This window comes from Homo sapiens, chromosome 5, assembly GCF_000001405.40.
Source record: "Homo sapiens chromosome 5, GRCh38.p14 Primary Assembly".
In the NCBI taxonomy this organism is placed as follows: Eukaryota; Metazoa; Chordata; class Mammalia; order Primates; family Hominidae; genus Homo; species Homo sapiens.
The window spans coordinates 151,112,379-151,137,054 of NC_000005.10; the positions used below are offsets into that span (position 1 = coordinate 151,112,379).

The window sequence follows — 24,676 nt, forward strand, 5'->3', positions numbered from 1 at the left end:
GGACTATGAGGGAAAGCTTTCGCATTTTTTTTATTCTTCCTGAAAATTTCTTAAAGATGCAAAGATATTATTTCATTTTAAATTTAAATGTTAAATAAGAGTTATCAAGGCTACTAGGATTATGGGCTGCTTCTGGTTTTTAAAATATTTTTCTGTATTAAAAACAACCTATGCCAGGCACAGTAGCTCACACCTGTAATCCCAGGACATTGGGAAGCCAAGGTGGGAGGATCACTTGAGCCTATGAGTTTGAGACCAGCCGGGATAACGTGGAGAAACCCTACTCTACCAAAAAATTAGCTGAGCATGGTGGCGCACGCCGTTATTCCCAGCTACTTGGGGGGCTGAGGTGGGAGGATTGCTTGGGCCTAGAAGGTGGAGGTTGCAGTGAGCCAAGATTGTGCCACTGCACTCCAACCTGGGTCTCAACCCTATCTCAAACATCACAAAACAAAAACCTAGTTGAACCCTGAGGACATCATACTAGGTAAAGAAAGCCAGTCATAAAAGCATAAATACTGTATAATTTCACTTACATGAAGTCCCCAGTCAAATTCACAGACATAGAAAGAATGGTGGTTGCCAGGGGCTGGGGGAAGGGAGAATGGGGAGTGACTGTTGAGTGGGTCCAGAGTTTTGGTTTTGCATGACGAAAACAGTTTTGGAGGTGGCTGGTGGTGACAGCTGCCCAACAATGTGAATGTACTTAATGCCACTGAACTGTATACTTTAAAATGATTGGCCAGGCATGATGGCTCACGCCTGTAATCTCAGCACTTTGGGAGGCTGAGGCAGGTTGATCACCTGAGGTCAGGAGTTTGAGACCAGTCTGGCCAACATGGTGAAACCCTGTCTCTACTAAAAATACAAAAAATTAGCCGGGTGTGGTGGCAGGTGCCTGTAATCCCAGCTACTCAGGAGGGTGAGGCAGGAGAATCACTTGAATCCGGGAGGTGGAGGTTGTAGTGAGCCAAATTGCAACACTGCACTCCAGCCTGGGCAACAAGAGGAAAACTCCATCTCAAAATAAATAAATATATAAAATGATTAATATGGTAAAGTTGATATGTATTTTATCAAAAATTTGTAAAAACTTATGCTAAATAAAACGGTATCATTTTTAAAAAGAGAGAGAGAGGGACATGTTTAAAAAATTTAACAGAAAAGAATCCAAAGTCCCAATTGTTCTCACTTACGCGGGTCAGAGTACCCTAGACATACTCGGTTTTTCAAAGCATCTTTAAGATAATAATATCTGTAATGTAAAAAAAAAGTGGTGGGACACTAAATTAATATTCACCACAAAAGCTTGTTCTTATTAGCCTAGCTACTTCATGCAAAAATTAATCTGGACAGTTCCTCAAATGGTTAAACTTAGAGTTCTCATATGACCCAGCAATTCTATCTAAGAGAAATGAAAACATATGTGCACACAAAAACTTGTACACAAATGTTTAGAGCAGCATTAGTCATAATAGCCAAAAGGTGGAAATAACCCAAATGTCCATCAGCTGATGAATGGATAATAGACTATTATTTGGCAATGAAAAGGGAGTACCAACATGCTACAACACGGATGACCCGTGAAAACACTGTTAAGTGTTTAACATAGTGTTTAGGTTAGTGTTTTCTTAAGTGAAGAAGCCAGTCCAAAAGGCCACGTATTAATATCACTGTATTGACATGAGGTGTTTGGAAGAGGCACATCTGGAGAGACAGAAAGTAGATTAGTGGTTGCTTAGGGCTGGGGGGTTAGTAGGATATGAGGAGTCACAGCTAATGTGTATGGAGTTTCTTTTGGGGGTGAAAAAATGTTCTAAAATTGATTGTGGTGATGGTTGCATTAAGTCTGTGAAGATACTAAAAACCACCAAATTGTACACTTTAAATGGGTCAATAGTGGGGTAAATGAATTCTATTTCAAGAAAGCTGTTATATTTTTAAAAGCCTGGGCCAGGCATGGTGGCTCACGCCTGTAATCCTAGCACTTTGGGAGGCTGAGGCGGGCGGATCACTTGAGGTCAGGAGTTCATAACCAGCCTGGCCAACATGATGAAATCCTGTCTCTACTAAAAATACAAAAAAATTAGCTGGGCATGGTGTTGGGAGCTTGTAATCCCAGCTACTTGGGAGTCTGAGGCAGGAGAATTGCTTGAACCCAGGAGGCAGACGTTGCAGTGAGCCAAGATTGCGCCACCGCACTCCAGCCTGGGCAACAGAGCGAGACTCCGTCTTAAAAAAAAAAAAAAAAAAAAAAAAAAAAAAAAGTCTGAGTATTGATTATCTAAAAATGACCACAATCCTTCATTTCATGGTAGGTCTATAATAATTATTTATAATTTATTGCTCTAATTGGACAACAGAGTGAAAGGGGAAGCAATTAACAATCACTGTGGGGCCACAGTTGGAAATTGGACATATGTTCAACTGGTTAATAACAGTCCCAGACTTCTAAGAGCTTGAGGGTGTTCTAGACATCCAGAGTGAGAGACCGCCAGGGAGGCAGTGTAAAACAGGCAAATACAAACTGCCAAGTACTCATGTGCGTTATCTAAGGGGGAGCTTGACTCGGCCCTATCAAATGCCCTTAATTTTTATATACATTTTGCTCCCACATTTCCATTTCATCTCTGGAAATTCATTCTAATGAATAATTCATGAATGTGATAAAAGAGTTTGCTACTAGGAAGAAGGCTGGTTAAATAACATGGTAGATTCAGATATGGAACAGTATATAGCCATTAAATGATATCGTTGATTTAAAAATGCAACAATATTCACATAGTATTAATTTTTAACTGTCAGAAATAAAGAATCCACTTTTATATATACATAGAGAAGCAACTAGAATAATGTATGCCACAATACTGACAATGCTTATTACTATTAGGTTATGGAGTCTTTTTTGGCTTCTCCTTATTTTCTAGTTTCTATAAAAGAATGTACTGCTAGTTATAAGAAAATGAGCTTGGGTCTAGCATCCTAAATCTGGAGAAGCAGCCGAGTTGGGCAGGGATCTCGCTCAAGGGTCCCTTAGCTATTTCCACCCGGGTTCTCTCTCTCCACTTCTCTCCTTTTGCGAAGCAGCTGTCAGCAAGGCCCACCACTGCCCCCTGCTAGCGGCAATTGGAAGCACAGCCTCATTGGCAAACCAGGCACCAGGCAGAAGCATTCCCTGGAAGATCAATTCAGGGTTGGAGGATGGATTTGGGGTGAGAGCTGAGATTTTTAAAAAACTCTCAGCAGCACACGAGGCTGTTCACAGTAATACTTAATAAACGTCTGTTGAATGAGTGAATGAAATGTGGCCTCAGCAAGCCACCCTAGTGTCTGGCTGGGTTCTCAGCCTAACCCCCATCCATGTGCCCACAATGTAGCTGAAATGCCATACATTTAAATGTAACCCTGCAGCTTTTGACAACCATATTCCAAAGCAAGGGTTGGACAACTGGACAACAACAGCTATTTGATGTGGAAGCTGCAGGGGACCTTAACTCTACTGGGTCTTGGAAGATATTACTGTAAATGGAATTAAGCATAGACTCTGGCATCAGGCAAGCCTGAGTTCAAATAAAACCACCACCACTTAGAAATTCTTTCATTGAAGAGGTTAAGGAGCTTCATTTTCTTCTAGTAAAAAGGGAGAACATAAAAACGTATAGAATAATCTTGGCATCGTTCTCAATATATAGTATGCATTCTAAAAATTATAATTACAATTCTGTAACTGTCAGGTTCCAGCTAAAGATTTTTCTAGCTCAGATGCTGTTGTAGCAAACCACACTTCTGTTATGGGACCTGGGAACAGAAAAGTTGGTTCCCTGACTCTCAATCCATCAGTGCTCTTTTCAACTCACCAACTATAAAAGAAGGGGGCTGGATGTCTATAAAAGTCTGTGGTGTCTGTGCCCCACATCCCTGGACACAGCTTTTGGGGGCGGGAAAATGAGGCAGTCAGAAGAGATGGAGACATGGACCTGGGTCAGGCTACTGGGTGCTGGGATCAAGGTGCAGGTCAGTGGGGGACAATGCACTGGCCTCAGTAGGGACTGCCCAGCCATAGAACCCTCAGGGAAAATGAATTTGGGGTTGTCCAACCTCCAGAAGAAGCCATTTCCAGACCTCAAGCTCACTAGGCTAAGGAGCAGGGCTGAGGCAGAGCAGCCAAGAGACTCCTAGAGAACCCTTTTCCCTGCTATTCATTCAACAAATATTTATTGAGCACTGATCATGTGTTACTTTGGATATATCAGTGAACAAAATGAAGATTCCAGCCCTTGAGGAACTTACTTTCTAGGCTCGTCCCAGGACACTCCCTCCAATCTCGGTCCCATTTTACAGATAATAAACCGAGGCCTTTAGCACTCAGGCCCTCTTCTCAGCAAGTTCCCAGACCAGCTCTCTAGGGGTCAATTCTACTGGGGCCACTGATTTGCTGTGTGACTTTCAGAAGTCATTTGCCCTTTCTGGACCTCCATTTTCCCACTGTAACATGAGGGCTTTGACCTGGGTGATCTGCAGGTCCCTGCCAGCTCTGAGGGTCCTGCTATTCACCTAGGAAATGCCAGTAATACCAGCACCACACTTCTAAACCTCATTTCTACAGTCTAAGTATCAACCAATCAAACCAACCACGCCCCTGCCAGGAGCCTTCACTCACAGACAGGGCCCGGCGTAGACACGCATAAGCTGGACCTACATCTCAGGGACACCCGGCAGAGGTGACTGGGGTGGGCTGGGGGTCTTACCTGGGCATCTTCCCGTGCCTGGTCCAGGTTTTCTCCTCCCTCCTCACGATGCCCCTGCAGCAGGAGCAGCAAGAAAGTTCAGTCCCCAAACATCGACCCATCTCCATCTCTGTACCACCACACACCCTGCTCATTTTCACCTCTCTGAATGCTCTTCCTCATCAGCTACACAGGGACGAAAATCCTGCCTCTATAAGGTAGGCTGTTGTGGTCATTAACTGAGAATGTGTGCAAGACACTTAGCACCAATGCCTGACACACAGCAAGCTCTCGGTAACTGTCAATGAGGGTCTGCCATTTTGGTTATGGGAATTCAAGAGATGGTGACAGAAGCTCCCAGGTAACAACACAGGAGAGGGTCACCCATATGGCTTTGTCCTGTGAGCTGGGGGCCCAACAAGCCAGGACAAGGGCCACCAGGGAGGACTGTCTGGAGAAGGTGGTACCACGCCAACTTTGACAAGGGAACAACAGGGGTAGGCGGTGGAACTCTAAGGAGGCAAGTGGGGAGACACCCCCTCTCCATCAGGAGTGCACTTCTAACTCCCCTGTGCCCTCCACTCAGTAAACCTTCCCTTCCTCCCAGGCCTCCCGATGGGCAAGCCGACCTGGGGCCCATGAATTCACTCACCGTGGCCAGAGAAATGAGGATCCTCCTGAAGTGGCCAGATGTGTCTGAGCTCAGAGCATCCTCCAGGGACTTGTGATAGTCTGAGGCAGAGAAAGGGGGTGTGGGTAGCTGCTGGCCAAGAAGGATTTGGTTGCGGGGAGGGAGGTCCAGGAAACTCAGGCTTGAGCCAGGGCAGTATTGGCAGGGGGAGGTGGGGATGAAAGGGTTTGTAACTGGCTCATGGGGGCATCCAGCCATCCTCCTGCTGATTTTGTAAGACAATGGGCATTCCCATCAACCCATCATCTCCCCTCCATCCCCTCAGCTCTGTCCCAGTTGAGGTCCCATTGCATCTCGCCTTTAATATTTAACAGCCTCTTAAGTCACCTCCCTGTTGTCATTCTCTCTTCTACCTTCCCTCCTGCATGGCAGTTGCTAAACCCAAAAGCAGAGCTCTGACTATGTCACTCCTGTACTCAAAAATTCTGCCATTTTAAAGCTGCTTATAAGATAAAAAATGTAAACTTTTTTTTTTTTTTTCAAGACAGGGTCTCACTCTGTCACCCAGGCTGGAGTGCAGTTGGCATGATCAAGGCTCACTACAGCCTCGACCTCCCTGGGCTCAGGTGATCCTCCCACCTCAGTCTCCTGAGTAGCTGGGACTATAGGCACATGCCACCACACTTAGCTAATTTTTTTGTTTTTTGTTTTTTTTGAGATGGAGTCTCATTCTGTCTCCCAGGTTGGAGTGCAGTGGCGTGATATCGGCTCACTGCAACCTCTGCTTCCCAGGTTCAAGTGATCCTCCTGCCTCAGCCTCCTAAGTAGCTGGGGCTACAGGCGCATGCCACCACGCCTGGCTAATTTTTGCATTTTTAGTAGAGACGGGGTCTCACCATGTTAGCCAAGTTGGTCTTGAACTTCTGACCTCAAGGGATCCACCATCTCGGCCTCCCAAAGTGCTGGGATTACAGGGGTGAACCACCGCACCCAGCCAATTTTTATATTTTTTGTAGAGACGGGGTTTTGCCATGTCGCCCAGGCTGGTCTCGAAGTCCTGGGCTCAAGCAATCCGCCTGCCTGAGACTCCCAAAGTGCTGGGATTACAGGTGTGAGCCACTGCACCTAGCCGATTTAAACATTTTTGACTGGTACTCAAGATTCTTCAGAATGAAAATATGGGGCCACTCGCTTAAAAATGAAGAATTTCTGGACAGTGACAGCATAGCTTGCAACCAAGTGTGGGGCCCTTCTGGCTGTGGGGCCCTGTAGAACTGCATGGACTACACACCCCTAGAGTCGCCCTCCCTCTCTCCAGCAGGCCAGAATGTTCTCTGTTCCCACTTCCAGCCAAGCCCTTTTCTACCTCCAGGCCTTTGTCCTACCAGGACACCTGTCTTTTCCCCAGACACAGGGATGGGCACACCCAAGAGGCTTATCAAATCCTCAAGGACTGAGGGAAAGGAGACAGGCCAGAGTCCTGGGCAGAGCTGTGGGCTGGGGTTGGAAGTTGGGGGGCCTGGCTGTTCTCCCAGCATCTGGGCCCAGGCCTCCCAAACTCACCCTCCTTATAGGCCTCATTGATGGCCCGGATTTCAGCATTGGTCCGAGTGGCCAGGATTTCAATAAGAGCCTTTTCATCTGTGCCGGCTCCCTGGAATGTCAAGGCAAAGATGATCTCAGCCATAGTTCTGACCTCCTGTGCAGAGGTCCATGGGGCCCGGACGGCTAAAGCTCAGGCCAAGCATTCCTGGATTTTCTCCTCACCTCCAGACATGGCCCTCAGGCCCAAGACCTTGGCACAACCAAGGCTGACTATGCCAGCCTCTCAAGATCCCCAGAACCTCCCATGTGAACTGCTTTGCCTTCCAGCCCCCCAAACAGAAAAGGTATATAGGCGTGTGTGTATAACACCACATATACACATGAACATCTGAATAGAAATTTCTACTTGTAAGTATTGGAAGAGAACAGAAGGACACGCACATGCCTCACAGTGTTAACTAGCAGTTTGGTCTCTGTGTGAGTGAAGGATCACAGATGATTGCTATTTTCTTCTTTTTTACTCTATTTCTTCAAGTCTCCACAGTGAACATGTATTATTTTGTTAGAAGAAAAAAAGTTTTGTGCTTAAGATAAAATGCTAAATTTTTTTTCTTTTGAGACAGAGTCTTGCTCTGTCGCCCAGGCTGGAGTGCAGTGGCATGATTACGGCTCACTGCAACCTCCGCCTCCCAGACTCAGGTGATTCTCCTACTTCAGCCTCCCAAGTAGCTGGGGCCACAGAAGCATGCCACCATGCTTGGCTAATTTTTGTATTTTTTGTAGAGACAGGGCTTCACCATATTGTCCAGGCTGGTCTGGAACTCCTGGACTCAAGCCCAAAGTTTTAGGAATACAGACGTGAGCCATCATGGCTGGCTTACATTTGTTTACTCTTGGATTTGAGGAGTGATTTATGAACTGAGGCGTTACATGCCCTGGACTAAGGCAGGCTGGGGACCTGTCATGCAAAGATCTGCACACAGGGAAGCAGGGAAACTATCAGGGAGGAGAGGAGGCAGGCAAGATTGACTGATTGATTGACTGAATGAGTCAATGACTAATTCACTCATTCAGGTACTTGTTAAGACACCTATTATGTGCTAGCCACTGTGCAAGGTGCTGGGGCTACAACTACAAAAAAAAAAAAAAAAAAGTCCGGGCGTGGTGGCTCACACCTGTAATCCCAGCACTTTAGGAAGCTGAAGAGGGCAGATCACTTGAGGTCAGGAGTTCAAGACCACGCTGGCAAACATGGTGAAACCCCTTCTCTACTAGAAAGACAAAAAAATTAGCTGGTCGTGGTGGCGTGCGCCTGTAATCCCAGCTACTCAGGAGGCTGAGGCAGGAGAATCGCTTGAACCTGGGAGGTGGAGGTTGCAGTGAACCGAGATCACACCACTGCACTCCAGCCTGGGCGAAAGAGCGAGACTCCGTCTCAAAAAAAAAAAGAGAAAGGCAAGAGGCAAGACATGTTCTCTGTCCTCAAAGAGGTTACTGCCTAGTGCTCTAATGGTCCTGCCTTCTCAGATCCTAGGAGATTCATCCTGATTGAGATCTTCAATCATTTCTTTGTTAGAAGCAGGTGTGTGGTGAGGCAATCAAGAAAGTCCTGAGACTGGGTCTAGCCCTCGTCTCCCCCTAACTCACTGACTCTCTGAGCCTCTCTGTTTCCCACTTGGAAACTTTGAAAATGGAAAGGATTCAGTTGGGTTACCTCATCGATCTCTTCTATTTCTGAACCCTGTGTCTTTAGATCGTTTGCTTTTTGGCTTAGGTATTTTAAGAAACAATCATCTCAATCTGCTTAGCCTAGGCAATGTTTTTATAAAGTCCTCTAGCTCCCCATTGCTGCCCTCCTCTTAATGCGCAAGGGGCCAAAAGCACTACTGGTTTTATGCGGTTGTCAAGACAGGCTCTAGAGTCAGAAAGACTGGTCTGAACCTCAGCTTTGCTACTTCATAGCTCTATGACCATGACCAAGCAACTTAACCTCCAAGTCTCAGTTTCCTCATCTGTAAAATGGGGACAAAATAAGAGCCCTGCCTTGTGGCTTGAGGAGGCAACTAATTGAACTAATGTACCTAACCTGGGAGAGTTACCATATGCTCTTTATAAACAGTAGCCATTAGTACAATTGGTACCTTGGGAAGCAAAGCAGTTCTAGCAACTTCTGGGCCAGGACATAATGCTTTCTTGTTTAATGTAGGGTCAGGTCTTCGGAGTTAACAATGCCCTTCATACCTGTGACCTTGATTGACCTGTCCTAGTTTGAAGGGCAGAGGTGACCATTTCCATTTCCCAGATGAAGGCACAGAGGATTGGGAAGTGTAAGGAATGGCCCAGTCACACTGTGAGTGAGTGGCAGGTCTAGGCTGGAGTACAGACTCCAACTGCTGGTGCTTTCGTTCGAGACCCACCCCACTTCCTCCAGCGGCTCCATGAGACCCTTCTGACACCAGTGGGCATGTGACTTAAGCTGAATCAACTTGGAGTAAATGCCAAGCCTGTTGTTGGAGCTCCTAGGAAGAAGGAACTCTTTCTGCTGGAGCCGCTAGCTGGCGGGATGGACATATGCCACCATGAGGAGAAAGGCTGCCTGAGAGTGAAGCCAGAAGGGAGGACAGCAGAGCCAAGACAGGGGTGAGCCAAGGGTCCACAGAACATCATTTGAGTCTCTGGACTCAGAGCTAGTCCTGTAGTTTTCAGTTATAGGAGCCAACATCTCCTTTTGTGTTTATGCCAGTTTGAACTGAGTATGGGAGGAGTTCTACCAAGAAGTTACAGCTAATCCACCTGGGCTTATGAGGATCACCTGTATCCCTATTGGCACCCGCAGACACTAGACCCCCTGGTGCCACACTGTACCTCCATGGCCTTCTTCAACTGCTTGGCATCGTAATGGGCCGGTGGCATCATGAGCCCCAGAATCAGCCTTGCCAGGTCTCCAGAGATCTCAGACTTCAGGTCAGTCATTAAGTCCTGCAAAGGGCAGAGCCACAGTCATGCCAACATCAGCACTTGCCCACACATGACTCAGGATGGGAGAGATGGAAAGAGAAAACAGGGGTTCCACATGAGGGATCATGGAAGCTTGTGTCTGTCTTTGCTGATGTTGTACTTATTATTTAGATGAAGCCAAAGAGGGTAGGGAAAAAACAACCAGGAGGAAGACCCACTCTCCTTGACACAGGAGACAGGAACGGGAAGGCAGCAGAGCTGAAGGACACTGTTTCCACTCAGGGGGAAATGCATCAACCTAAGCCAGATGCCACCAATGTGCAATAATCCCTGACACTCAGTTGGGGCCTTGAAGCCAGCTCTGTCTGTGCAGAGGAATTGCAAGATGCCCAAAGCACACTGAAAACAACTCATAGCCCTGATCTTGGCCCCATGCTGTGCCTCTGAGTCCACTGAGCAACTCACACAAGTGTTGCCCATCACAAGGAACTGGGGGCATGGAAAGATATGTCTGCCCAAACCCAGTGCTGGAGACACTCTGAGATCATATGACCACACAGGGTCCCTCTGCCATGAAGACCCTGGTGCCCAACTGTGCAGAACCGATGGGGACAGGCTGAGCTCAATCAGGCAAGGTGCATGCATGTTGCACAGAGAGCCCAGGAGGAGGTCCTTACCCGGCCAAAGTGAGACTTGAAGGTCTGCCGGATCTGCTGCCGCTGGACATTGCTGCGGTGCGTGATGATATCGATGATTGTGTCTTCGTCAGTCCCTGAGTCACCAAAGCCACATGCCTCAGAAGAAGGCCTGTGGCTCTCGGCTTTCCCCATGCACCGCCCACTGATGGCCCCTCATCGATCTTTGTCAGGGTAGAAGCCTGGCTAAGCGGCCATGTGCTCCTGAGTCCCTGCAGTCCGCTTGCCTATGGCTCAGGCCACTGATTTCTGCTGGACTCCTCCCTCCCTTTCCTTTTGACACGCTGAGGAAAAAGGACAGCTGGGAGGTAGAGAGCACTGGGTTGGGAGTCAGTGCCTCTGAGTTCTAGTTCTGGCTCTGGCAATGGCTGCCCACCCTGGGCAAGTCCCCTTCCCTTGATGGGACTTGGTTTCCACATCTGTAACATGAAGAGGCTGGAGTAGTCACCAAGGGATCCTTCCAACCCTGACAGTCCAAGTCCTGTTAGCAACTCTATGTCCTTTCTCTTCAGCTCTCTGGAAGCTGGACCCTGAGTCCCTCTAACCACAGCAGGTTGACTCTGGAAGGCATTAGAATATCACTTCCTGCTTCTCAGATTAATGCCATCAACCACAGACCCAGCACAGGGGTCTTTCATGGCATTTTTACCTCTAGCATCCTACAGTCCCAGGCGAGCTTGGCAGGTATCATCATTCCCATGAGACACATGGAAAGGAGGCTCAGGAGGGTGATGGACTTAACCTAAAGCCTCCTGGGAGTTGCTGTCAGACAGATGGGGCAGAAAGGCAAAGAAAGCCAAACCCTAGATGGCCTGTCCCAGGCTGGACTTTCTGAGCACAGGCCCAGCTGATCTGAACCTGTGGGTGCAGTACTCTTCCCACTGGTGCCAAATATAGGTCTGAAAGACCTGCCCAGCAGGGCACACTCCCACCACAGAATGAGGGAGGGCTCTTGGGTTCCAGGGTCCACAGCCCTGATTTTACACATAGGGAAATTCAGACCCAGAGTGGCGGAGAGGCTCACCCAGAGTCACACGGTGAGTCAGCAGCAGAGCCAGGGCACCATGCCAATTTTGTGACCTGGTACTTTCTTCAGTGCCAGGATACTGCTTCCAGGAGGCTGGGGGACACCTTGGTCCCTGGAAAGGGCTTCTGCCAAGTTCCTTATGAACCCTCTCCTGCCCCTCCTCTCTATACTCTGGGAGCTAGGAGGGTGGAAACTTGAGATCAAGCCTTCCTCATCCTGCAGACTCTAATTTGAAACCTCACTCCATCCCCTGCCAGCCCACGGCCAAACCCACCACACCTGCTGCCCTGGAGACCAACCCTGCTCCCTTCCCATCCCCCATACCGAGTCCCTTCATGGCTTTCCGCAGCGCTTTGGCATCTGCGTCAGGGTTGAAGTCATTGGCTGGGCGCACAGTTCCCTTCAGCTGTGAGAAGCAGAAAGAGACTCAGCAGGTGTCTGAAGGCCCCCCTGGGGACCAGGCTGAAAGACAGCATGCGAGGGTGGGAAGCTCACCCCATGAGCCCAAACCAAGCGGCGTGGGTGGGGAAAGAGGCAGAGGTGAAGCCACAGCAGACAGACCCTGCACGAGAGCTGAGAGAGAGAGAGAGAGAGAGAGAGAAAGAGACAGAAAGATATAGAGAGAGGGAGAGAGGGACTCAGGGCTGGGAGCAGGGCAAGTCCTGATCAAGAGAAATTGGCTAGGCTCCCGCCTGCCACGGGATCTGCCTCGGTTCTAGTGCCCCTTGGCTGCTTATTCCACCGGGGCATCCCCAATTCTTCTGAATCCTACCCTGCCCCCGAGGCCCCCTCTGCCTCTTAAAGAGTCATTCCCCCTGAAAAGGCAGCAGAAAAGTTCTGAAATACCAGAACAGAGTTTCCCAAATTTCAGTCACTCCTAAAGGACTTTCACTATTCCAAATTAGCACACACACTATGCCATCTCTTAATGGTTTTATGTAATTCAACTTCTTTTCTGTCTACTTAAATGCATCAATTTTTGAAGTGCATTTAAAATTACTCCCAAAAGGCAAGGAATTGTATCCGTTTTATCCTGTTACATATCCCAGGTGCCTACAACAGTGTCTGACATAATAGGCACACTCAAAAAATAATTGTTAAGTGGATTAATGAGGCTTGGCACAATGGCTCATGCCTGTAATCTCAGCACTTTGGGAGGCCAAGGCAGGAGGATCGCTTGAGCCCATTGGTTCAAGATGAGCCCAGGCAACATGGTGAAACCCTGTCTCTACACAAATTAGCCAGGTGTGGTGGTGTCCACCTGAGGTCCCAGCTACTTGGGAAGCTAAGTGGAAGGATCACCTGAGCCTGGGGAGGTGGCAGTGAGCCATGATCATGCCACTGTACTCCAGCCTGGATAACAGAGTGAGACCCTGTCTCAAAAAAAAAAAAAAAAAAAGGAATGGATGAAATTAATTTTATATAACTACCATGAATTAGGAAGTTGATACCATGTATCATAAACTGACAATTTACCACAAAAATCAACATAATAAAAACAAAAGAGGTGATATACCATGAAATTTAACATGATGCCTCTACTTGCCAGAAGCTCTGAAACTTAAAGCGAGCTCTCTCAGCTTTCTCTTTGTGAAAAAGGAAAATCAGCAAGTGTTGCAGAGACGGCGGCACCAAACCAAGACTTCCTCTTTGACGTAATCAGAAACGCTGATGAAATTGGAAAGGAGTGCCTTTCTCATTCACTCTGTGGAGTTCAGCGTTATTCAACCCTGCCAAACTAAATTCACTTCTCACATCACCTACAATCATCTGCAAAGATCTCTTGCCTTATCATTTGGGGAACACTGTCCTAGAACATCAGAGCTCAAGAGCCCTAAGAGATCACCGAGATTGCCATGTTAACCCCTCACTTTAAAGATGGAGACATAGAGGCCCAGAGGGAGGGGGCACCTTCCAAAGGTTACATAGCGAATAAGTAACAGAGAGCTCCAAGGTCCCATGCTTTTTTGTGTGGACCAAGTGTTGCAGTCTCTGGAATGGTTTGCCTAAAGTACTTTAGTGAAACCTTTCATTCCTGTCCTTTGTGGACCCCCAGTCTGAGGATGCTCAGGAGGACAACCTGAAATCCTCCAGTGCACCCAGGGATGCCCATCTGTTCTCAGCTTTCATGTCTCTGAGGCCAACTGTTTCGACTCCAGACGGGACAGGCCCCTCCATGGAACCAGCCAGGTCTCCATTTCAGCAAGCCCTGTTAGTAAGTGGGCCAGAACCCTTTCCAGCGTGTCAGAAGCTAATGCAGAAACCAGGTGCGCCCCTCCACCAGTTCACCACTCCAAGGGAGAAAAGGAAGCTTCAGATGTGAGAATCAACGTGTCGGGTTGGCCGCCAGGGGGCAGCTGGGTGCCAACCAGAGCAGCAGGAAGGTGCAAGCAGAGAAGCTGTGGTCAAGAGGTCAAGCAGGAGGAGGGGAAGGTCTGACCTCTACTCGGGCCACTGCACTAAGTTCCCACATCTGATAGGCCACCTGCGCTGCCTCCGGGAAGAACTGGCCAGCAGCACTGGAATGGAGGGGTTTAGGGAGAGGACAGGAAGGAATGTCATCATGGGCAACACTCACACCAACACACACACACACACACACACACACACCCCAACACATACACACACGTGCACACACCACACACACATTAAGCTTTCTTTCTCTCCAGCCTATGCCTCCTCCATTCGCCAGAGTCCTCCCTCCATTTCTGAGAACCTTCCATCTCTTGAGACCCCCTGCAATGCTGCCTTTTTTATTTTTTATTTTTATTTGAGACGGAGTTTTGCTCTTGTCACCCAGGCTGGGGTGCAGTGGCTCGATCTCAGCTCACTGCAACCTCTGCCTCCCAGGTTCAAGCGATTCTCCTGCCTCAGTCTCCCAAGTAGCTAGGATTACAGGCACCCGCCATCACGCCTGGCTAATTCTTGTATTTTTAGTAGAGATGGGGTTTCGCCATGTTGGCCAGGCTGGTCTTGAACTCCTGACCTCAGGTGATCCGCCCGCCTCAGCCTCCCAAAGTGCTGGGATTACAGGCGCTGAGCCACTGTGTCCGGCCAATGCTGGCTTTTAAGGGCAGCCTTCCTGGCTGCAGAGTCCAAGCAGGATAGGATTTTTCCAATCCTTCAGCCTCCCCTTTCTTCCTTAGAATTTGAATGGCTTCTATCCAACTCTCCCCTCTCAAAGAGGCCATTGAGCAAGCTATGGCCATGCCAGCCCTGCATCTCCTCCTGCAAAGTGCCTGGATGCATCAGGAGCTCAGTAATATCTGCTGAACTGCATCAACCCCTATGGTCCTTACCAAAGGTTCACAGGAAATTCTTGCATCCCTTCTGTAATTGGATCTTTATAAGATCCAGAGAAAGGAAATCAGAGCGCAGCCTGTTCCCTTTCTCAAACACAAATCTGGTCAAGTAATGTCCCAATTTAACATTCTGGGAAGAGGCCCCCAGGCCCTCCCACTTCTCTGCCTTATTTCTCTCTCTAGTACTCCATAAATGCATGACTTCGGACATATGAATGAATCAGGCCACTCCTTCTCACTCCTCGGCTTTTCTATAGGTGATTTCCTCCACCCAAACACTGTCCCCAGACCCTCTTCACCTGGCTCTTCCCCTTCCTCCTTGGGTCTCACCGTGTATCTCCAAAGAGTCTCCCCTTGGTCTGGGCTAGGGCATCTCTGTGTGCTTTTATATATGCTTTCTATGTGGCACAGCCAGTTCTCCCCAGCACAGGACTGCTCCCTTCTGGAAACTGGTCTATACCCTTCTGCGCTGTGGCCTTCATCAGGGGCTTCCTCACAGGGTCTGCACCCAGAAGGCACTTAACACAAATATGCTGCATAAATGAGTAGGCAGAGCAGGAATGTGTCCTTTTCCCATTTAACAGGTGATGAAACCGAGAAATGGCTATGAAATAGCAGGGATTGGATGCTCATATTCTGGTTCCTAGTCCACAACCCCAGACTGACTTTCCAAGTTCACAAGAGCAGACATCTCCATATACAGGAGACCACGCTCACGTTCAGACCCCCACACTCTCAGACACACAGACCCACAAGCACAGCAGCTACCAGCAAAAGCCGCCTTTCACTTGTGCGACGCTCCTGGCTCAGGGGAATCCCCAGCTCATCCAATCCACCCATCAGGATGCGAGCCAGGAGAGTCCCCGCCTGGCACCCCAAGGCCATGCCCTCCAGCCAGGGGCCAAGAAGCCACTTACTCATCATCTCCCCCAGACAGCTTCAGCAGAGTCTTCTTGTACTCGCCAGAGGTGTCATTCTGAAGAGAAAGAAAGAAAGGTTACCTCTCACCCAGCCCTGGGCTCCTCTCAGACAAGGAGGTGAAGGTTCTGCACAGCCTGAAAGAGGGGAAGGCTGAATGAACACTTATTCATAGCAGCCCTGGCCCTCCTGTGCTGGTTAATATTGAATAACTGGTTCTCAGCGGGCAGGTTGGAGGAAGCCCTAATTTATAGCATTTGCCTATTTCTGTGGTGTAAATACTTCTAGCAATGGACAATTTCAAGTTACCAATATGACTTTGCTACCAATATGCGGAGTTGAGAAGAGATGCTCGCTGCCCTTTCAAGCCAGTGCCCCAGCACAGCACTGCCACCAGACAGTCCCCAGCCCAGTCCTTCCACATGAAATATGCATGGAAATGGGGTTCCATGAGCAAAAATATTGGGAAATGCAAAAAAATCAAACAAATATATATTACACAGATGCACATATCCGTATAGATGCATATTCCATATCCCTCTTGGGGCTTCATAATGGACTTCAAAATGTGAAAGGCTGTGAGAAGTTCTGAGGTAAAGAAACTGGCTTATTTATCTTTGCTTATTGTGGTTTGTTACAAACTTATTTTCCCATAGAACATTTTGCACATAACACCTAAAAAAATTACCCTTTGGAAACATACTTTGGAGAATACAACTTGGATCTCTTTCTCTGTCACCCCATAAAGTTTTATTTCAGTCATCCAAAAAAAAAAAAAAAAAGGGAAAACCCCTAGCTTTACATATGTCTCCTGATAAAGCCTCAGGGGCCGGATGTCCCAGAGTCATCACCAATCACCCGGCCCAGGCCAAAGGTTCCCCTTTAACCCTCATTTGTGTTCTTCAGTGTTTCCCAGCCTTCTTCCAGGAGACTGAACTATCACTGCCCTTGGGGCAGAGTCCTCGCACTTAATTCAGCTTGCGTGTCCTTCATGACCCAGCCCCTGCCTCCTTCTGTAGCCTTACCACTCACAAACACCCCTAACACTTGCTTTTCTGTTGAATATCCTTAAATTCCTTGAATGAGCCACAAGGCAGGAGCTCCTGGAATGTCCAAGAGACTCCCACTTCCTAGGACATTTCCTTTTCCTGGGAATAGTCCCCAAGCCCTCTGTCTTGGCAAAAAGCTCTTTGCTCCCTTCTCTGCCCCCATGAGCTCTGCTGACCTTGATCATGCTGTAGAGGGACTTCTCATACTTGGTCCGGAAGATCTCCCGAATGTCGAGCATGTCCAACTCACTACGGGAGACCATGATGCGGATCAGGGTGTTGTCCCGAGTCCCCAGGCCCTGCAAGACAAGTGGGTTTGGGGAACATGGACTTGAGAGGAGGCTAGAGTGCTGATAGCTCCCAGCTTAGTTGAAAATCCTATTTTCATAATAAAAAGTTAAAATTTAGAGCAAAAGAAGCAGACATTGCCATTCCCATTGAAGCTCTCTCTATGCTCCTCTTACTGTTTTGTTTGTTTGTTTGTTTGTTTGTTTGTTTCTGAGACAGTGTCTCACTCTTGTCCAGGCTGGAGTGCAGTGGTACGATCTCAGCTCACTACAACCTCTGCCTTCCAGACTCAAGCAATTCTCCTGCCTCAGCTTCCTGAGCAGCTGGGAGTACAGGTACCCACCACTACGCCTGGCTAATTTTTGTATTTTTAGTAGAGATGGGGTTTTGCCATGTTGGCCAGGCTGGTCTTGAACTGGCCTCAAGGGCTGCCTTGGCCTCCCAAAATGCTACGATTACACACATGAGCCACCATGCCCGGCCCTCTCACTGTTATAAACCTCTTCTCTCTTCATGTATAATTTCCACACTTGATTTTCCTTATAATTTTACCATAGCTTTGTAACTCTAAGCAATACACTTAGATTTACACATTTTGGAACTCTGCAAATATACCACTGTGCATTTAGGTTTTTGCTGTACTATTCCTGATGGTCACTGGGTTGTTTCTAGCTTTTTCCTAATATAAGCAATACTGTTATAAGTTTTTTTTTTCTTTTTCTTTTTTTTTTGAAGAGGCAGGGTCTCACTCTGTTGTCCAGGCTAGAGTACAGTGGCGTGATCACATAGCACTGCGTTCACTGAAGCCTCAAACCCAGGGGCCCTGTGCTCAAGAAATCCTCCTGCCTCAGCCTCCCGAGTAGTTAGGACTACAGGTATGTGCCACAGTCCCTGGCTAGTTCTATTTGTTATTTTTGTAGAGACAAGGGTCTTACTATGTTGCCCAGGCTGGTCTTGAACTTTGGGCCTCAAGTGATCCTCCCACTTTGGCCTCCCAGAGTGCTGGGATCATAGGTGTGAGCCACTGCATGCACTCAGCCTTGTGATGGGCATTCTTAATGAATTCATGCATACAGGCAAACATCTCTCTAGGGCTGAGCTGCCCAACCTCATTATGGCACACTGGTGGGCAGAGAATGGCCGACAGTCTACTTTGTCCTTTCGGAATGGCCAACCAGGGCCAGAAAGGCCCAAGCTCCTGTGTCTCGGGCCTCAGGCCTCTGGCAGCAAATAACTGCATTCATTTCCTCCAGTGCATCACAAAAATACCAGTTTCTTTGTGCGTCATATGTGTAAAAGCCTGGGAAGCTTTCTCAGAAACACACCCAGAGTGGAACTGTCACAGGGTGAGCATCATGAGTCTTAGCAGGCAAGGCCAAAGTGGTCTTGCCTACATACGCTGTATAAAAACATTCTGGTTAATACTTCTTCAAAGTCCGAGCCGCCAACCCATTTGGCTGGAGGGATCAGGTGCAGGCTGCCACCCTAAGTTCATCTGTTGACTCATGACGTCAGGCAGGTATGCAGGTGGCAGGACATGTGACCAGCAGCATTCCTGGCTCTACAGCTCACCTGCGACAGAGCACCTTCACCAGGGTCAGTCCTGTGGCCATCCCTGAAGGGCTCTCTTTGGCCACTGGATCCCAAGGACTTGTCAAAGACTCCCAATAGTCCTCTCCCCAAACCCCATTCACATCAGCCCCACCACGCACCTTCATAGCCTTGAAGAGCCTTTCAGCAAAATATTCCGGGGTGCTCCGGATACACTTCACTGTGAAGAGGGAGGAAGAGGTAGAGTTATTCTGGCTGCCTCAGAAGGGGGATGGGATGGCCTGACTCCCTCTTTGTTTCTATTCCTTGAGGGCCACCTAGCTCAATACAGGAAGAACCACCGTTCCTGATAGCTCACAGCCCCAGATCACCCCAGACCAACCCACTTTTACCGCACACCCAGGGAATAAACAGGAAATAATCTTGTTGAAATAATCCTTTTGAAGTCCATCACAAAGACCGCCTTTATCTTTCTAGTCCTTTTGGTTTTAACAGGGAATTGAGCTGGGGTGGGGGTAGGGTCTGGGGCGAAGGAGGAAAAGGTGTTTTTTAGACCTGCTACACCAGAAAGGTACTGGCAGCTGAATCATTGTGAATCCCACTGAATCACCGTGAGTCCCACTGGCTGACTACTTCAAACAGGGAGGGCAGGGGATGGCTCTGGGAGGGACGATAAAGGAGCTGCAGGTTTCCCCCAAGAAATACAAACACACAACATATCCCTGACTCAGACATGCTAACTGCTGGAATGCCAGAATTGGAAGGGCTTCTGGGGAGGCAATTAAGGCAGTCCATCCTTCCTGCCCCCACACCCTGCACCCCACTTAACAGATGAGGAAACTGAGGTCCAGCAAGCAGAAGTGACTTGCTCCAAGCCCATGTGGGAGAAGCCCTGGTTTGAATCTTGGCTCCACCACTGACTAGCCAGTTCCTCACATCCTCACGTTCTCAGTACCCCCAACTCATTACAAAACTACCCCTCAGGAAATGATCAGCCTGGTGAGACTCAGTTTCCTCATCTGTGAAATAGAGATCATGGCAGTGGCCACTGCTGGGTCTTTTTTAAAGATTACACACTCAGCACAGTGCCTGGCATGCACTAGATGCTCAACAAAAGTCAACTATTATGATCATCATTATCCTCAACCCAAGTTCAGAGCTCTTTGTCCCCCTGCCAGTGGTGGAGAAGGGAGCTGGAGGAAGTCAGTACCTGAGGCTCAAACCCCCTTCCCGTCCCCAGCCTCAGCCATGCTGCCCTGGAGAAACCTTTAGAATTCACGGCCCACATGGTTTTCTCCTTCCCAATTCTATACCATGTAATTCCCCTTTCCATTCTCAGCCCCTTGTTCCTAGGCCAGTGTTCCAGAATCCCCTAAAGCCCCCAGGAATGCAACGTCAGGACATACCTACGGCCAGCATTAGCTTCTCAAAGTCCCCAGACAGCTCCCCTCGGATGCTGGCTTCAATCGGCTTCCCTGTGGTCTTCAGATACTCATCGAACACTGCGTCAGACAGAGAGACAGGGAGGTTTGAGAGTGCCTCTGTACCCCCGAGAAGAAATGAGGACTTCAAGAGCAGGGGGGCACAGTGGCCAGGACGACTGTCCACCATGAAGCTAGGGCTGGTGCTATGATGGAGGCGACTGGGAGGTCACGCACATCACCAGCGCTGTGCAGATGAGCTTCATAGCTGGTGAGAGACTGTGTCTCATCCCCTAACATGGAGACAGGACTGGCACTGAGATGGAAGGCCAAGCATCCTGTTAATGACTTTGCTGAGGGACTATACAAACTGCTGTCTGATATTAGGTTGGTGCAAAAGTAATTGCGGTTTTTGCCATTCCTTTAAAAACGGCAAAAACCGCAGTTACTTTTGCACCAACCTAATAAACTCAGGACTAAAGTTTGGGTTGGGAATGAAGTAGGTATCATGTTCCATTAGTGGTAAAGAAAAGAAAAGAGATAAAGAAAGGCATTATTGGCATCAACCCAAGGGAGCAGCTTCAGGTCTTCTCTGGAGCTTACCCAACCGAAGATGCTGCTTGCTGCGATTTCCCAAGATGTAAATGAACTGGGCTTCATCTGTTCCCCATTTCAGTTCCCCTGCCTCGTATAGGTCCTGAAGGGGAAGAGGTGGCACTTGACTGAAAGAGGAAACCTCAGGAGACAGGACACACTGACCAAGCCACTCAGAACTGCTGCCTGATCCCTGAACACACGAGTAATTGGTAGCCTGAAGACCTTTGCAAATAAAACAGTCATGCATCATTTAATGATGGGGATACATTCTGAGAACTGCCATTGTTAGGCGACTTTGCCATTGTGTGATCATAGAGCACTCGCACACACCTAGATGGCATAGCCTACTACACACCCAGACTCCGTGGTATAGCCTATTGCTCCTAGGCGGCACACCTACCTGTTCAGCGTGTTATCTTACCGAATACTGTAGGCAACTGCAACACAATGGCAAGAATTTGTGTATCCAAACATAAATAATCATAGAAAAGGCACAGTGAAAATATGGGGTTATAATCTTATAGGACTAGCATCACATATCTGGTCCATAATCTTATGGGACTAGCATCATATATGTGGTCCATCATTAACCAAAACACCATTATGTGGTACATGACTATACCTATATGCCTTTCTTCCTTTCTTTCTGGAGAAACTCCTACTCAACCTTCAAGGCCCAGATTAAGTATTCCATTTTTTTCTCAAAGTACTTCCCGATGCCCCCAGGCACAGTTCTATTTCCCTCCTTTCCTCCCTCTCCTAGGCTCCCATAGCTTTCTACTTCTTTATCACTTTGATCTACTGTATATGATAATGATTTCTTCACCTGTCTATCTCCACACTATTGCATGAGCTCCTCAACAACAGGGACTATGTCATAGCATTCTCTGTATCAGCCCCTGTAGTGCTGCTGGCATGTACTGGGTACTCAAAACACCTGCAATGTACAGTATATTGATAGAGAAGGTGTTTGTGTGATTAATGTATGCCTGTCTCTCCCGGTACCACTTGATTTTGTTCATTAGTGATTTCTAAATGCTTGGCAGAGTGCCTAGCACATGCTAGGTATTTTACTTCAATAATATCTAAAAACTGAATGAATAAAGAAAGCTCCAAAGTACACCTCACCAATATACCAATATTACATATGGGATATACCTTTGAAAGATAACTTATATCTTTTCTTCAACAAAGCACCGGTATACATGACAGCTGTGGCTGGGTTATTTCTGGTATTTGATGCAAATGACTTCACCTCCAGCCCTTCCCAGGGCCCCAACCTCTCCCCTCCCAAGGCTCTTCTGCTGTGCCTCAGGGACTTTCAGTGGTGCTTGTTTACCTGGACATCCTGTTGTACCAGGTCCTCGCTCACTACGTCATCCTCCTCCCTGGTTCCCTGGGCAGAAAGACAAAGAACATGTGTTTCAAACACTGCAAAGTCAGGAGGGAGGCCTGGATGCCAGTGGTGGAGACAGGGAAAGCAGGAAAACCCTGGTGGCCCAGATGTGTCCAGAAGCAGTGACTGCTATTGCATGAAGACCACAGTATCTATTTTGTGAGCCAATCAAAAGGGACCCTCCCTCTGGCCTTTCCCTTCCTCGTCAGGGCTGGGTCCACACAGGAGAGTCCCAAGAACAACCAAGGTTCTTCCAGGTGTCCCCAGCCCAGAGGTAGGCAGAGCCTTGCCCTGAGGACCTCTCTGAGGACAGGGCCCCAGGTTCTCGAGGGTCCCTGCCACAGATCCTGCATGGCCCATGACACTCCTCCAGCAACGATTCCACAGGGGCAAAGGATCTGAACATTTGCATTCTATTAGGAGCTCTTATACCTTAACTTAAAGAATTCACCAATAAGGATTTGGGACTCAGGTCCCAAGATCTGAGCTCACAAGCTACAAAGTCACCAAATCCTAATGGTGCTTCTGTTGTTCTGCCCATGCCCTTTGCCTCATCTGATAGAGGAAGCTTACACATAGGAGGATGCACAAAGGGAAGAGGGGCGAGCAGTACTCAACTCCTTCTTACGTGGGCAGAGGTCTGCAGGTGGCCTGGAGAGGTCTATGGCCATCCCCTCTTCCCCCTGGATTGTGCATTCCAGGATCTCAAACCCCCAGGGTTCTCTTTGGGACTGAGCAGAAGACAGAGCTGGCAAGCTTACAATGTGTGCCGCGCTGCTGCTTGGTGTCAAACCTTGAGGATACAAAACGCTTGACTCCAAGATACAGGGATAGGACACTCCTCTCCAGAACAAGCAGCTTTGAAAATGGGGCACAGGTCACACTGTCCCACTCCTGAGGTTTCTCCTGATCATTCCCCAGCTGGTTAATATGGGATTGTTATGGCAATGAGAGGAACAGAGTTGGGAGGAGCTGGTATAAAAGGGAAATGGGGGAACGAGGAAACATAGTGGTGGCTTAATTTATATATAAAGTTTCATAACCATTTGGTCCTTGGAGCTGAGCTTGAGACATCTCAATGCCTGTTCCCATCGTGCCTGTGGTCACAGAGATACCTACAGAGCCAGGTAGATAACATTCACGGTGAAACGGGCAGGACGCATATGCTCTCCAGCCCACTGCAGTCGTGCAGAATGCAGGTCTGCTGCTACCGCAACTTTCAATACATTAAAATAATCCAGAAATCTGGTTTTTGAGCAAAATCTCACAATTTTTAAATGTTAGCAACTAACTCAAACTTGTTTTGCTTTCTTTCTTAAAACACATTTTATGGGAAAACAAACAAAAAATCCAACTTGGCAGGTTGAATTCAGCCACAGACACCAATTTGTAGCCTCCTAATAGTCTCTTTGTGATATACTTTGGGCGGGCGGTGAGGAGGCAATAAGGCTCGGATGTGGGAGACTCCACACAGTAGCCACAGGAATGCTGGGGTCCAGAAATGCTGCATGTGCAGCTGCAGAAGCAATGGCAGGAAGGAGGCCCAGAGAGGAGCGGGAGGAGCGAGTGTGGAGAGAGGAAGAAAATCACAGCAGAAGACACTCCTGGGCACGAGAGGACTGTGTGCCAAAGAGAAAGAGGATTAGCCAAATACACCTGCCTGTGCAAACCAGGGGAAGCTGACCAGACCCTGGACATTCAGATCTACACCCAGATGAGCCAGACAAAAGCTATCCCAAGCTCCAGAGGAAAAAAATAGGCTGTGAACCAACCTGGAGCAGGACCACAAGCATCTTCTGGAAGTGGCCAGAGGTGTCGCCGATGATGTCAGCCTCCAGGTCCCGCTCGTAGGCTGCAGAAAGGAACGCAAGCTCTAGTCTCATCCCCAGAGACCTCAGGGATCTAGGATAAAGGGCCCTGCTGCCCCCAAAATGATCAGATATTTTTAAGAATTCCAAAACCCAGTCTACACGTCCATCATGGCAAGACCCAGGGTATATTTTCACAGCTCTTCGTACTGACCATGATATGATGAAATGGAATCTGTTCATTCTCTCTAGCCCACCTATACCATGACGGCCCACCTGGACAGTGGCTACAGCTTTCCGATGGTTCTCTCCTCCTCTATTCTCAATTCCTTTCCAACCCACGGCAACAAGGATGGCTGTCTTAAAACCCATATCTGATCATCATACTCCCCAACTTCTCATTAGACTCAGAATAAAACACCATCTCTCTCTTGGCCTGCAGGCCCTGTGTGATCCTGCCCTGTCCTCTACCTGTCTAGCCTTGTACCGGCTACCAGGCTCATTTCTATTTCAGGGCCTTTGCACTTGCCGTGACCTCTGTTGGAAGGATCTTCTCTCCATTCTTTATACGATTGGTTCCTCATTTCCTCCCAAGACCTCACTGGTAAAAGTTTGATTCTTGTTACCTTATTTCCTGTACAACACTTAGCTAAAATCCATCATCACTGTGTTTATCTGTTCACCTGTTTATTGTGTGTCTCCTTCATTATCTCATTATCTCATTGGCCTAAGAGAGAGGGACCCCTTTGGTTTTATCCCGAGA

General features: G+C 48.1%; 1 protein-coding gene across 3 annotated transcripts in view, besides 4 other annotated features; it reads right to left on the minus strand.

Moving 5' to 3' along the window:
• The window catches only part of ANXA6 (annexin A6), a 57,074-nt gene that overhangs the window by 11,673 nt on the left and 20,725 nt on the right, over positions 1–24,676 (minus strand). For all 3 annotated transcript variants that reach the window (NM_001363114.2, NM_001155.5, NM_001193544.2), the window contains 14 exons: positions 23,878–23,957; positions 22,049–22,105; positions 20,716–20,809; positions 20,098–20,193; positions 18,853–18,911; positions 17,029–17,151; positions 15,803–15,861; positions 14,024–14,102; positions 11,908–11,989; positions 10,539–10,633; positions 9,769–9,882; positions 6,922–7,012; positions 5,380–5,459; positions 4,749–4,802 (listed from right to left, as the gene is read on the minus strand). In NM_001363114.2, the coding sequence (NP_001350043.1) occupies positions 4,749–4,802; positions 5,380–5,459; positions 6,922–7,012; positions 9,769–9,882; positions 10,539–10,633; positions 11,908–11,989; positions 14,024–14,102; positions 15,803–15,861; positions 17,029–17,151; positions 18,853–18,911; positions 20,098–20,193; positions 20,716–20,809; positions 22,049–22,105; positions 23,878–23,957 (1,163 nt within the window). The remainder of the gene's footprint in view (positions 1–4,748; positions 4,803–5,379; positions 5,460–6,921; positions 7,013–9,768; positions 9,883–10,538; positions 10,634–11,907; positions 11,990–14,023; positions 14,103–15,802; positions 15,862–17,028; positions 17,152–18,852; positions 18,912–20,097; positions 20,194–20,715; positions 20,810–22,048; positions 22,106–23,877; positions 23,958–24,676) is intronic.
• Positions 11,467–11,967: an enhancer, noted in NCBI's record as "H3K4me1 hESC enhancer chr5:150503406-150503906 (GRCh37/hg19 assembly coordinates)". NCBI's record gives its function as "activates a minimal SCP1, AML or CMV promoter by ChIP-STARR-seq in naive H9 embryonic stem cells {active_cell/tissue: H9 hESC(naive)}" and the evidence as "EXISTENCE:reporter gene assay evidence [ECO:0000049][PMID:30033119]".
• Positions 13,776–13,935: an enhancer, noted in NCBI's record as "active region_23439". NCBI's record gives its function as "activates an Ori minimal core promoter by ATAC-STARR-seq in GM12878 lymphoblastoid cells {active_cell/tissue: GM12878}" and the evidence as "EXISTENCE:reporter gene assay evidence [ECO:0000049][PMID:35858748]".
• Positions 22,099–22,198: an enhancer, noted in NCBI's record as "active region_23440". NCBI's record gives its function as "activates an Ori minimal core promoter by ATAC-STARR-seq in GM12878 lymphoblastoid cells {active_cell/tissue: GM12878}" and the evidence as "EXISTENCE:reporter gene assay evidence [ECO:0000049][PMID:35858748]".
• Positions 22,209–22,268: an enhancer, noted in NCBI's record as "active region_23441". NCBI's record gives its function as "activates an Ori minimal core promoter by ATAC-STARR-seq in GM12878 lymphoblastoid cells {active_cell/tissue: GM12878}" and the evidence as "EXISTENCE:reporter gene assay evidence [ECO:0000049][PMID:35858748]".